Source organism: Homo sapiens, chromosome X, assembly GCF_000001405.40.
Source record: "Homo sapiens chromosome X, GRCh38.p14 Primary Assembly".
Lineage (NCBI taxonomy): Eukaryota > Metazoa > Chordata > Mammalia > Primates > Hominidae > Homo > Homo sapiens.
Window position 1 is genome coordinate 72,808,359 of NC_000023.11, and position 13,985 is coordinate 72,822,343.

Consider the following 13,985-nt stretch of genomic DNA (forward strand, 5'->3'; position numbering starts at 1 on the left):
TTCCTTTGCTGCTGCTTCCTGGCCCTCTCAGCAGGCTCGAGCCACGTTTCTCCTTGCCGAGCAGAAAAAGCAGAGGTCTTCAAGCTGGTGATGAGTCATCATTTGGTGGGGATGCCACAGACCCGAGTGTCCATGTGGGTGCTCTCCTGCCTTTGATTCACAGGATTATGTACATGGATGCCCTGGGCAGGTGTATGAGTCCAAATGAGTCGTCACAGCAAGGAGCGTGAGCTGGGTAATGGTATCCAGAGTCCAAATCAACAGCAGTTTTCTTTTCAGAGGTTTACGTGAGACTCCACGTCTATGTACCAGTCAGTATCAGGTGGTTTAGGGCCTGGAGGGCTTGGAAAATGTGAGAGAGAGGGAGAGGTGAAGGGCCTGGGCTGGGGTGAGTTGAAAGTAGAACAGCCGACCAGCCTGGGCAGCATAGGGAGACCCCACCCCCACAGAAAATTTCAAAAGTAGCCTGGCATGGTGGCACACACCTCTAGCCCCACCTACTCAGGAGGCTGAGGGGGGAGGATTGCTTGAGCCTGGGAGGCGGAGGCTGCAATGAGCCGTGATGGCACCACTCCACTGCACTCCAGGCTGGGAGACAGAAGGAGACTCTGTCTCAAAAACAAACTGACAAATCAAACAAACAAACAAAAGAAAGTAGAAGAGCAGAGGTGAAAGCTCCTTGTTGCCTAGTCTTGCTATGTCAAAATCAGGCTTTGACATTTGAGTTACAAGCAATGCTGCCAAGTTATGCCCCCCGTTTGCTAACCAGGTCTGTGCGGTCCGCACCGCTGACTTCACAGGAGCTCCCTGCAAACAGTATCCTGAAGGGAAAGTGGAAGTAGGTGGCCTCAGAGTCTTTCTTTGGCTTTTGAAACAATAGTGCTGTTTAGGAAAGCATCTCTTACATAATCCTGAGGCTACAGAGTTGATCTCTGTGAGCCTATCATGGGCCGTGCCCTGAATGAGGCTCTGCTTCAAGCTCTTCTGTGAGGGAGAAACCGAGAGAGGCATGAATGTAACAGAGAGTGATGGAGGGACGTTTATGGGGCTACGGGAGGACTGAGGAGGCGGGCAGTCACTCAGCCTTGGGAATTGGAACGGAGTCAGTGAAGAGTTCCCAGAGGAGGCGTGCCTGAAAGGAGGGACAAAAGAAATTGGCCAAGAAATAGAGAAAAGGGAGAGCATCACAAGTAGAAGCCCAAGACAATACCGTGAGGTTTTGCAACTGAAAATATGTAGGCCTGGTTTTCTGTTCTAGGGTTTAATAGAAGTCAAAGTCAGTCACGAGGTTCCAGTACAGGAACCTGAAAAGCTGTGCCTCACAGAGACACTGAACCCTGGTTTTTGAGAACCCAAAGGGTATATTTTTAATAGAATTTTGATATATATTGATTTAATAGAATTTGATAATAGAATTTTGATCAATAGCAGTCCATTGATCATTTTTCCAGTGTGATTCATGCTTTCATGTGTCCTACCCTAAGATATCGTTGCCTAGCCTCACAACAGAGATTTTCTCTTCTGATGTTTGTAGGTTTTAATATTTTGCAATTTACACTTAGATCTAGGATTTATTTTGAATTAATGCCTGCATGAAGTGTGAATAATGTCGGGATGAATGGTGAGATATTGAAGTTGTTTGGGTCTTCCGTAAAGAGATCTACTTTTTCCAGCACTATTAGTTAATTGTCAGCTAATTTAATTATCTTTGAGCCTTTATTAGAAATCAACTTACTATATATATGTAAGTCTATTTCTAGCCCTTCTTCTATTTCATCCAATGATCCCTATGTGAATTCTTAAGGTCATACCAGGCTGTCATGATTACCATGTCTTTATATTAAGTCAGAGACTTTGGTGATGTGAGTCCTTCATGCTTGTTCTTTTCCAAATGGCTTTGGATCTTCTATGTCATTTGCATTTATATATAACTTTTGAGAAACAGTTCTTCACTTTAATTATGATTATGGTGAGCCTATAGATCCATTACTTGAGAATTGGCATCTTAACCTGAGTCTTCTGATCAACGAACATTATATATCTCTGTTTATTTAGGTCTCCACTTTCTCTCGCCAGTATTTTATAGTGGTCTGCATACAGGTCTTTCACATATTACATTAAAATTCTCAATAGATACCTCATTTATTTTGCTGTAATTATAAATGACATTTTAAATAATGTCATCTCCAATTATTTGTTCCCAGTATGTTGAAACACAGTGGGTTTTTGTATGTTGAGTTTCTGTCTTGTAACTTTGTTATGTGACTTGTTAGGTCTAGGAGATGTTTATCCCCACATTCCTTAGTATTTTGTATGTAGACTATCATGCTATTTGTAAATGGAGAGGTTTTTTTTATTCCTTCCTATTCAATCTGTATGCCTTTTACTTATTTTCCTTGGCTCATTGCACTAGCTGGGACCTCAAGGATAATTGTATACGCATAGTAAGAGTCTGCCTTATTTTTAATCTTATGGGAGAAGCATTCAGTATTTCACCATTAGGCATGGTGCCAGCTGCAGGTTTTTTGTAGGAGTACTTTATTAGGTTGAGGACGTTGCTTTATGTACTTATCAAGTGGTTTGGGTTTTTTGGTCATGAATGGGTGTTTTATGTTATCAAATTACTTTTCTGTTATATATCTGGATAATAAATGCTCTTTTCTTTTATTCCATTAATATGGTGAAATATAGTCACGGATTTTTAATGGTAAAATGACCTTACATTCCCAGGACAGACTGTGCTTGGTAATAGATTATTTTTTTTTCATATATTATTGGATTCAAGTTGCTAAAATTTTATCAAGGAGTTTTGTAACTATGTTCATTAGGAACACTGGTTTGTAGTTCCTTTTTTTCTTCTGGTATCTTTTTTCTATTTTTTTTTTTTAAATAAAAGTAATGCTGCCATCATAAAATGAACTGGAAAGTGTTCCCTCCTGTATTTTCTAAAAGTGTTCTTTTGGGACTACTACTATGTTTTCTTTAAATGTATGACACTGCTAACCAGTAAATCTATTGAAGACTGAAGTTTTCTTTATGATTTACAAATACGGTTTTAAAAAGTCTCCACATAACCATTCTTTTAACCTTAACAAGGTCTTTAGGGATGATTACCAATTAATTATATGTAGTTATTAGAAGAGTGTGCTTAAAAAATTTTCCTCAGCTTTTAAATGTCTTATTTTCTTTCTTCTTTTCTTTAATTTTTATTTTTCTTTATTTCTTCTAAAACAATTAACGGGATACATGTGCAGAACGTGCGGGTTTGTTACATAAGTATACGTGTGCCATGGTGGTTTGCTGCACCTATTGACCCATCCTCTAAGTTGCCTCCCCTCATCCCCTACCCCCCAACAGCTCCTGGTGTGTGTCCTTCCCCTCTCTGTGTCCATGTATTCTCATTGTTCAACTCCCACTTCTGAGTGAGAACGTGCGGTGTTTGGTTTTCTGTTCCTGTGTTAGTTTGCTGAGAATGATGGTTTCCAGCTTCATCCATGTCCCTGCAAAGGACATGATCCCATTCCTTTTTATGGCTACGTAGTATTCCATGGTGTATATGTACCACATTTTCTTTATCCAGTTTATCATTGATGGACATTTGGGTTGGTTCCAAGTCTTTGCTATTGTAAATAGTGCCTGCAATAAACGTACATGTGCATGTATCTTTATAGTAGAATGATTTATATTCCTTTGGGTATATACCCATTAATGGGATTGCTGGGTCAAATGGTATTTCTGGTTCTAGATCCTTGAGGAATCACCACACTGGCTTCCACGATGGTTGAACTAATTTACGTTCCCACCGACAGCGTAAAAGCGTTCCCATTTCTCCACAGCCTTGCCAGCATCTATCGTTTCTTGACATTTTTAATAATCGCCATTCTGACTGGCATAAGTTGGTATCTCATTGTGGTTTTGATTTGCATTTCTCTGATGATGAGTGATGTTGAGCTTTTTTTCATATGTTTGTTGGCCATGTAAATGTCTTCTTTTGAGAAGTGTCTGTTCATATCCTTTGTCCACTTTTTGATGGGATTGTTTGTTTTTTTTTTTCTTGTAAATTTGTTTAAGTGTCCTGTAAATTCTGGATATTAGCCCTTTGTTAGATGGGTAGATTGCAATGATTTTCTCCCGTTCTGTAGGTTGCCTGTTCATTCTGATGCTTGTTTCTTTTGCTGTGCAGAAGCTCTTTAGTTTAATTAGATTCCATTTGTCAATTTTGGTTTTTGTTGCAATTGCTTTTGGCGTTTTCGTCATGAAGTCTTTGCCCATTCCTATGTCCCGAATAGTATTGCCTAGGTTTTCTTCTAGGGTTTTTATGGTTTTGGGTTTTACATTTAAGTCTTTAATCCACCTTGAGTTAATTTTTGTATAAGGTCTGAGGAAGGGGTCCAGTTTCTGTTTTCTGCGTATGGCTAGCCAGTTTTCCCAGCACCATTTATTTAATAGGAGATCCTTTCCCCTTGTTTTTGTCAGGTTTTTCGAAGATCAGATGGTTGTAGATGTGTGGTGTTATTTCTGCGGTCTCTATTCTGTTCCATTGGTCCATATGTCTGTTTTGGTACCAGTACCATGCTGTTTTGGTTACTGTAGACTTGTAGTATAGTTTGAAGTCAGGTAGCGTGATGCCCCCAGTTTTGTTCTTCTTGCTTAGGATTGTCTTCGCTATATGGGGTCTTCTTTGATTCCATATGAAACTTAAAGTAGTTTTTCTTCTAGTTCTGTGAAGAAAGTCAATGGTCTTGATGGGAATAGCATTGAATCTATAAATTACTTTGGGCAGTATGGCCATTTTCACGATATTGATTCTTCCTATTCATGAGCATGGAATGTTCTTCCATTTGTGTCCTCTCTTATTTCCTTGAGCAGTGGTTTGTAGTTCTCCTTGAAGAGGTCCTTCACATCCCTTGTGAGTTGTATTCCTAGGTATTTTATTTTCTTTGTAGCAAAGAAGAAATCATGGGAATTCACTCATGATTTGGCTCTCTGCTTGTCTATTATTGGTGTATAGGAATGCTTGCGATTTTTGCACATTGATCTTTGTATCCTGAGACTTTGCTGAAGTTGCTTACCAGCTGAAGGAGATTTTGGGCTGAGACGATGGAGTTGTCTATATATACTGTCATGACATCTGCAAACAGAGACAATTTGAGTTACTCTCTTCTTATTTGAATACGCTTTATTTCTTTCCCTTGCCTGATTGTCCCGGCCAGAACTTCCAATTCTATGTTGAATAGGAGTGATGAGAGAGGGCATCCTTGTCTTGTGCCGGTTTTCAAAGGGAATGTTTCCGTGTTTGTCATAAATAGCTCTTATTATTTTGAGATATGTTCCATCAATACCTAGTTTATCGAGGGTTTTTAGCATGAAGGGGTGTTGAATTTTATTGGAGGTCTTTTCTGCGACTATTGAGATAATCATGTGGTTTTTGTCATTGGTTCTGTCTATGTGATGGATTACGGTTACTGATTTGCGTATGTTGAAGTAGCCTTGCATCCCAGGGATGAGGCCGACTTGATCGTGGTGGATGAGCTTTCTGATGTGCTGCGGGATTCGGTTTGGCAGTATTTTATTGAGGGCTTTTGTGTGGACGTTCATCAGGGATATTGGCCTGAAATTTTCTTTATTTGTTGTGTCTCTTCCAAGTTTTGGAATCAGGATGATGCTGGCCTCATAAAATGAGTTAGGGAGGAGTCCCTCTTTTTCTATCGTTTGAAATACTTTCAGAAGGAATGGTACCAGCTCCTCTTTGTACCTCTGGTAGAATTTGGCTGTGAATCCGTCTGGTCCTGGGCTTTTGTTGGTCAGTAGGCTATTAGTTACTGCCTCAATTGTAATTTTCCTTTTAATGTGGTGCATCACATTAATTAATTTGCACGTGTTGAACCATCCTTGCTTGCTTCCCAGAAATAGATCCTGCTTAGTCATGGTGAACGATCCTTTTAATGTGCTCCTGAGTTTGGTTTGCTCGTATTTTGTTGAGAATTTCTGCCTCTATGTTCATCAGAGATATTGTCCTCCTGCTTCCTTTTCTTGAAGTGTTTTCATCAGGCTTTGGTATCAGGGTGACCCTGGCCTCATAGAACGAACTTGACAGCATTCTCTCTTCTTCAAGCTTTGGGAAGCGTTTGAGAAGGTTTGGGGTTAATTTTCTTTAAATGCTTGGTAGAACTCACCAGGGAAGCCATCTGGTCCTTAGCTTTTCTTTAATGGGAAGTTTTTGATTACTGATCCAATCTCCTTACTCCTTATTGTTCTGTACAGATTTTCTGTTTTTTTTAATGATGCAGGCTTGGTTGGTTGTATGCATCTATGAATTTATCCACTTCTGGGCTGACCCATTTATTGCTGCGTAATTGTTCACAGTTGTCTCTTATGGTTCTTTTTATATTTCTGGCATCAATTGTAAAGTCTCTTCTTTCATTTCTGATTTTATTTCCCTGATTCTTCTCTCTTTTCTTCTCATTTAGTCTGGCTAAAGGTTTGTTAATTTTGTTTATCTTTTCAAAAAACCAACTCTTATTTTCACTGATTATTTTCCTGTGGTCTTCTATTCCCTATTTTTTTTTATTTCTGCTCTAATTTTTTATTATTTCATTCTTTCTGCTAACTTTGGAGTTAGTTTGTTCTTCTTTTCCTAGTTCCTGGAGATAAAAAGTAAATTTAGTCCAGGCGCCGTGACTCACGCCTGTAATTCCAGCACTCTGGGAGGCCGAGGCGGGTGGATCACGAGGTGAGGAGATTGAGACCATCCTGGCCAGCATGGTGAAACCCCGTCTCTACTAAAATACAAAAAATTAGCCGGGCGTGGGCGCCTGCAGTCCCAGCTACTCGGGAGGCTGAGGCAGGAGAATGGCTTGAACCCAGGAGGCAGAGGTTGCAGTAAGCTGAGATTGCGCCACTGCACTCCAGCCTGGAAACAGAGCGAGACTCCGTCTCAGAATAAAATAATAAATAAATAAATAAAATAAAAATTAAAATAAAAAATAAATTTAATGGACATCAATATATTTTGTTTAAATCTATGTACTTGCTGTTTGTTTTCTATTTTCCCATTTGTTCTTTACTCCTCTCGTCCATTTTTTTTCATCTCATCACATTTTGGTTGGGCGTTTTAGGATTCCATTTGTCTTCACTACTGTCTTATTAGCTGTATCTATTTCAATTTATTTAAATGGTTGCTCAACTTACCACACTCTATCTTCAAGTAATACTATAGCATTTCACATACAGTGCTTCAATCTCACTGGAGTATACCTTATTTTTCTCCTCTTTTTTTTTTTTTTTGCAGTGCTATTGTTACGCATTTTATTTCTACATATGCTATAACATATGTATGTTATAAACATCATTCCGCTTTCAAGTTAGTTATAAACTGTCAGTTGTCATTTATATATATATTTTTTTAAATGAGGAAAAAAGCTATCTTTCATATATAGCCATAGGTTTCATTCATTCCTCTTGGTCAATCCTAGTTTCCACGTGGTATCATTTTACTTCTGCCTATATTTACTTCTGCCTGTATTTTTTTGGGGGGAGAAATGGCTGTTCACATCTTTTGCCCATTTCTCAATGAGGTTATATGTTTTATTATTAATTTCTAAAACTAATTTCTGTAATCTAGATACAAGTCACTTATAAGTTATATGATTTGCAAATACTTTCTCCCATTCTGGGGCTTCTTTTTTCACATTCTTGATGGTATTATTAATTGCAGCAAAAAGTTTTTAATTTTAATGAAAGTCCTGTTTATCCTATCCCATTGTAGTTTTGGTTTGCATTTCTCTGATGATCAATGATGTTGAGTACCTTTCCGTATGTCTGTTTGCCATATATGTGTCTTCTTTTGAGACGTGTCTATTCAGATCCTTTGCCTATTTTTTAATCGGATTATTACATTTTTTCCCTATAGAGTTGTTTGAGCTCCTTATGTATTGTGGTTATTAATCTCTTGTCAGACAGGTAGTTTGCAAATATTTTCTCCCATTCTGTGGGTTTGCCTCTTTACTTTGTTGATGAACAAAGGATTCCACTTGAGACTCCTAGTTTCATTGATTTTGCCCCCATGGTTTTCTATTCTCTATTTTGTTTTCAATGTTGACGGTTTCCTTTGCTGTGGCAGAAGCTTTTCAACTTGATGTGATCCCATTGGTCTATTTTTTTTTCTTGCTTTGGTTGCCTGTGTGTGCGGGGTATTACTCAAGAAATCTTTGCCCAGTGCAATATACTGGAGAGTTTCCCCTAATGTTTTCTTTTAGTAGTTTCATAGTTTGAAGTCTTAGATTTAAGTCTGTAATCTATTTTAATTTGATTTTTGTGTAAGTTGAAAGATAGAGGTCCAGTTTCATGCTTCTGCATGTGAATATCCAGTTTTCCCAGCACCATTTATTGAAGAGACTCTTTTCTCTAGTGCATGTTTTTGGCACCTTTGTGGAAAATGAGTTCACTGCAGGTGTGTGGATTTGTTTCTGGGCTCTCTATTCTGTTCCATTGATCTATGTGTCTGTTTCTATGCCAGTACCGTGCCTTTTTGGTTACTATAGCTCTGTAGTATAATTTGAAGTCAGGTAATATGATTCCTCCAGTTTTGTTCTTTTTGCTCAGGATAGCCTTTGCTCTTCTTTTGGCAATCTGTAGATTGTTTTGGATAGTATGAATATTTTAACAATAATAATTCTTCCAATCAATGAACATGGAATAGCTTTTCATATTTTTGCAATCCCCTTCAATTTCTTTCATCAGTGTTTTACAGCGTTCCTTGTAGAGATTTTCACTTCCTTTGTTAATTCCTAGGTATTTTATTTTATTGATAGCTATTGTAAATGGGATTACTTTATTGATTTCTTTTCCAGATTGTTCACAGTTGGTAGTGATTTTCGTATGTTGATTTTGTATCCTGGGACTTTACTGAATTCGTTTATCAGTGCTAATAGTTTTTTGGTGGGGTCTTTAGGTTTTTCCAAACATAAGATTATGTCATATGCAAACAAGGATAATTTGGCTTTTTCCTCTGTAATTTTGACACCCTTTATTTCTTTCTCTTGTCTGACTGCTCTAGCTAGAACTTCCTGTACTATGTTGAATAACAGTGGTGAAAGTGGGCATCCTTGTCATGTTCCAGATCTTAGAGGAAAGGCTTTCAGTTTTTGCCCATTCAGTATGATACTAGCTGTGGGTGTGTCATATATGACTTTTATTATGCTGAGGTTTGTTCCTTCTATACTCAGTTTCTGCAGAGTTTTTATAATGAAGGGATGTTGAATTTTATCAAATGCTTTCTCAGCATCCTTTGAAATTATCATATGTTTTTGTCCCTCATTCTGTTAATATGATACATCACATTGACTGATTTGCATATGTCGAATCATCCTTCCATCTCTGGGATAAATCCCATTTGGTCATGATGAATTATCTTTTTAATGTGTTGGTGAATTCGGTTTGTGAGTGAGTATTTTGTTGAGGATTTTTGCATCAATGTTCATCAGGGATATTGGCCTATAGTTTTCTGCGTGTGTGTATGTGTGTGTGTGTGTGTGTGTGTGTGTGTGTGTGTGTGTGTCTTTGTCTGGTTTTGGTATCAGGAAAACACTCATAGAATGAGTTCAGAAGTATTCCCTCCTCCTCTACCTTTTGAAGTACTTTGAGTAGGATTGGTATTTGTTCTTCTTTAAATGTTTGGCGCAATTCAGCAGTGAAGCCATTGGGTACCAGGCTTTACTTTGCTGGGAGACTTTAATTATGGCTTCCATCTCATTACTTGTTATTGTTCTGTTCAGGTTTTAAATTTCCTCATGGTTCCATCTTTGTAGGTTGTATGTGTGTATGAACTTATCCATTTCTTCAAGGTTTTCAAATCTACAGGCATATAGTTGCTCACAGTAGCCTCTAACGATCCTTTGAATTTCTGCACTATCAGTTGTAATGTCTCCCTTATCATCCCTGATTTTATTTATTTGGTTCTTTTCTTTTATTTCTCATTTATTCTGGCTAAAAGTGGGTCCATTTGGTTTCTCTTTTGAAAAAACCAACTTTTCATTTCATTGATCTTGTGCATTGTTTTCTTCGTTTAGATTTTATGTATTTCTGCTCTGATCTTTATTATTTCTTTTCTTCTATTAATTTTGAGATTGGTTTGCTCTTGCTTTTCTAGTTTCTTAAGATGCACTGTTAGGTTGTTAGGTTGTTTACCTGAAGTTTTTCTACTTTTTTGATATAGGGGCTTATAACTGTTAAGCTTCCCGCTTAGTATTGCTTTTGCTGCAACCCACAGGTTTTGGCAGTTTGTGTTTCCACTATCATTTGTTTTAAGACATTTTTCAATTTCCTTCTTAATTTTTTCATTGACCCACTGCTCATTCAGGAACACATTCTTTAAATTGCACATTTTTGTATAGTTCCCAAAATTTCCCTTGTTATTGGTTTCAAGTTTTATTCCATTTTGGTCACAGAAGATACTTGATATTATTTCAATTTTTTGAATGTTTTAAGATTTGTCTTGTGGCCTAACATGCGGCATATCCTTGAGAACTTATCCACGTGCTGAGGAGAATGATGTGTATTCTACAGCTGTTGGAGGAAATGTTCTGTAAATACCTGTTAGGTCCATTTGGTGTATCGTGCAGAGCAAGTCCGATATTTCTTTGTTGAGTTTCTGTCTGGATGATCTGTTCAACGCTCAAAATGGGGTGTTGACGTCTCCAACTATTGTTTGTCTTTCAACACTGTAAGTCTTTTAGTTTGTTTCCACGATGCTTCGTGGTTTTGCAGAGTATAAGTTTTGCACTTTCTGTTAGGTTTATTCCCATGTATTTTATTATTTCTGCTGCTATTGCAAATGGAATTGTTTTCTTAATTTTGTATTCAATGTCCTTTTTGCTACTCTATAGGAATAGAAATTATTTTCGTGTATTGACGTTGTATTCCTTCACTTTGCCAAATTCAGTATTTGTCTTTAAAGTCTTTTAGTGGATTCCTTAAGATTCTATAATTACAAGATGATGCCGTATGCTAATAGAGGTAGTTTTATGTCTTCATTTCCCATCTTTTTGAAAACCAGGTACCATGGCCACAACCCTCAATACATTGTTGAGTAGTAGTGGCTACATCAGGCATCCTTGTGCTGTTTCAGACATTAAGGGTAAAAGATTCGGTCTTCTGCCATTAAATATGATGTTACCTGTGGGTGTTCTTTATCATAGGTGCTCTTTATCAGTTTGAGGAAAATTCCCTTCTATTCCCAGTTTTTTTTTTCTTGAGTGTATTTCTTATGACAGGCTGTTGAACTTTTTCAAATGCTTCTTCTGCATAAATTGAGATGAATACGTGTTTTTTGAATGATTATCTGTTCATATGATAAAATCCATTTATTGATGTGTAGCTGTTAAAGCAACCTTATGTGCCTGAGATAAATGCCACTTGGTCACCGAGTATAAATATTTTTGTATGTTGCTGGATTTGGTTTGCTAATATTTTGTTGGGGATTTTTTCTGTCCTATTCATAGTTTTGCTTTTGAGTCTATATATGATTTTGTTGCCAGGCTTATGAGTTATGAAGTTTTCCCTCCTCTTCTATTTTTTTGGAAGAACTGTTGAAGAATTGCTATTAATTCTTATTTACATATTTAGTAGAATTAACCATTGAAGCCATCTGAGCCTGATCTTTTTTTCTGGGTAGTTTTTTTGCTTTTTGTTTTTTGTTTTTAATTACTATTTCATTCTGTTTCATTTTCATAGATCTATTTAACTTGTGTATTTCTCCTCCAGCCAGTTTGCATGGTATATGTATACCTAGAAATTCATCCATTTCATCTAAGCCATCAAATCTATTGGCATACAATTGTTCATATTATTTCTTTATAATTCTTTATTTTTCCATAATGTAGATAGCAGTGTCTCCTCTTTCTTTCTTGATTTCAGCGAATAGAACCTCCTCACTTTTCTCTTGATCAATCTGGCTTACAGTTTGTCAATTTTGTTGACTTCTTCAAGGAATCAGATTTTTGTTTCATTGGTTTATCTCTGTTATTTTTCCACTCTTCATTTCATTAATTCATGCTCTAATCAGTGTCCACTTTTCTCTTCGATTTGCTTAGGTTTAGTTTGCTCTTTTTCCCAGGGTCTCAATGCGGAGGGTAAGGTTATTGACCCGAGATATTTCTTTTTTTTTTTTTTTTTTTTTTGAGACGGAGTCTCGCTGTCGCCCAGGCTGGAGTGCAGTGGCGCAATCTCGGCCCACTGCAGGCTCCGCCCCCTGGGGTTCACGCCATTCTCCTGCCTCAGCCTCCCGAGTAGCTGGGACTACAGGCGCCCGCCACCTCGCCCGGCTAATTTTTTGTATTTTTAGTAGAGACGGGGTTTCACCGTGTTAGCCAGGATGGTCTCGATCTCCTGACCTCGTGATCCACCCGCCTCGGCCTCCCAACCGAGATGTTTCTTATTTTTTTTTAGTATCAGCATTTAGAGCTATACATTTTCTTCTAAGCACTGCTTAACTGCATCCCAAAAGTTTGACATGCTGAGTCTTCATTTTCATATATCTCAAAAAGTATTTTCTAGTTTCCCTTTTGATTTCTTCTCTGACCCTTGATTATTTAGGAGTTTGTTGATTTCTTTATGCTCATGTATTTCCCACTAATGTATGTTTTATTGATGTATAACTTCATTCCATTGTGGTTTGGGGGCCTACTTTATATTATTTCTGTCCTTTTACATTTATTAAGGTGTTTTATAGCCCACCGTATGGTCTATCCTGGAGAACATTTCAGGTGTACTTGAGAAGAACATATATTCTGATGTTGTTGGGTGTAGTGTTCTATAAATGTCTGTTAGGACCATTTGATTTATTGCTTTTTCAAATCTAGTATATCCTTGTTGGTATTCTGACTAGCTTTTCTATTCATTATTGAAAGCAAGGTATTGAAGTCTCAAACAATGATTGCTGAATTATCTATTCCCCTTTTCATTTCTGTCAGCATTTACTTCAGGTATTTTGGTGTTCTGTTGTGCAGTGCAAATATATTTATAATTTATATATCTTCCTCTTCACACTTTTATAATTGTAGAATGTTCATGTTTTATCTCTAGTCATAGTTTGTGTTTTAAACTCTATTTTTTCTGGGGTTGACAAAACTACTCCAGCTCTCTTGCGGTTGCTGTTTTCAGTGTATTTATTTTCTCAACCTTTTACATTCTAACTATTTGTGCCTTTGAATCCGAAGTGTGTGTCTTGTAGACAGCATCTAGTTCAACCATGTTTTTATTACATCCTGCCAATATCTGCTTTAAAATACATTTGTATTGTTCAGTCTATTCACACTGAACTTAATGTAATTACTTAATGTAATTACTGTTGGGGTAGAATTTATGCCTGCCGTTTTTTGTATTTTCTTTCTCATGTCTTACTGTTCCTCTGTCCCTGCACTGACGTATTCTTTTCTGCTAAACAGATATTTTCTCATATACTCTATTCATTTACCTGTTGTTTCTTTATTGTATTTTTGGGTTGTTTTCTTAGTGGTTGCCCCACAGATTACAGATCACATTTTAACTCAAAAGAATCTAGTTCAGATTGATACCACCTTAATTTCAATATTACACAAAACTGTGACCCTATAAAGCTCAAGAGTCTCTTCTCCTTTGTGCTACTATTGTCATAAAATTACTTCTTTATACCTGTGATGCCCATCTAGATAGTTCTATAATGATTGCTTTATGCAACAATTGTCCTTTAAATCAGGTAAAAGAAGGGAAGAGTTACAAACAACAATACATTCGTACAGTCTTTTATCAATGCTGTTGTAGTTAGTTACCTTTAATGGTGTTCTTATTTATTCATCGGGATTTGAGTTACTGTCTACTGTCTTTTCCAGATTTCCCTTTAATATTTTTTTGTAAGGGAAGTCTGCTGATGATACATTGACTCAGCTTTTCTTTATCAGGGGATAGCTTTACTTCATCATCATTTTTGAGGGAGAGTATTTCTGGAT

At 37.2% G+C, this 13,985-nt stretch overlaps 1 protein-coding gene across 4 annotated transcripts in view; it reads left to right on the top strand.

Moving 5' to 3' along the window:
* Window positions 1–13,985, top strand: part of DMRTC1B (DMRT like family C1B) — a 71,914-nt gene that overhangs the window by 31,469 nt on the left and 26,460 nt on the right. The window lies entirely within an intron of this gene.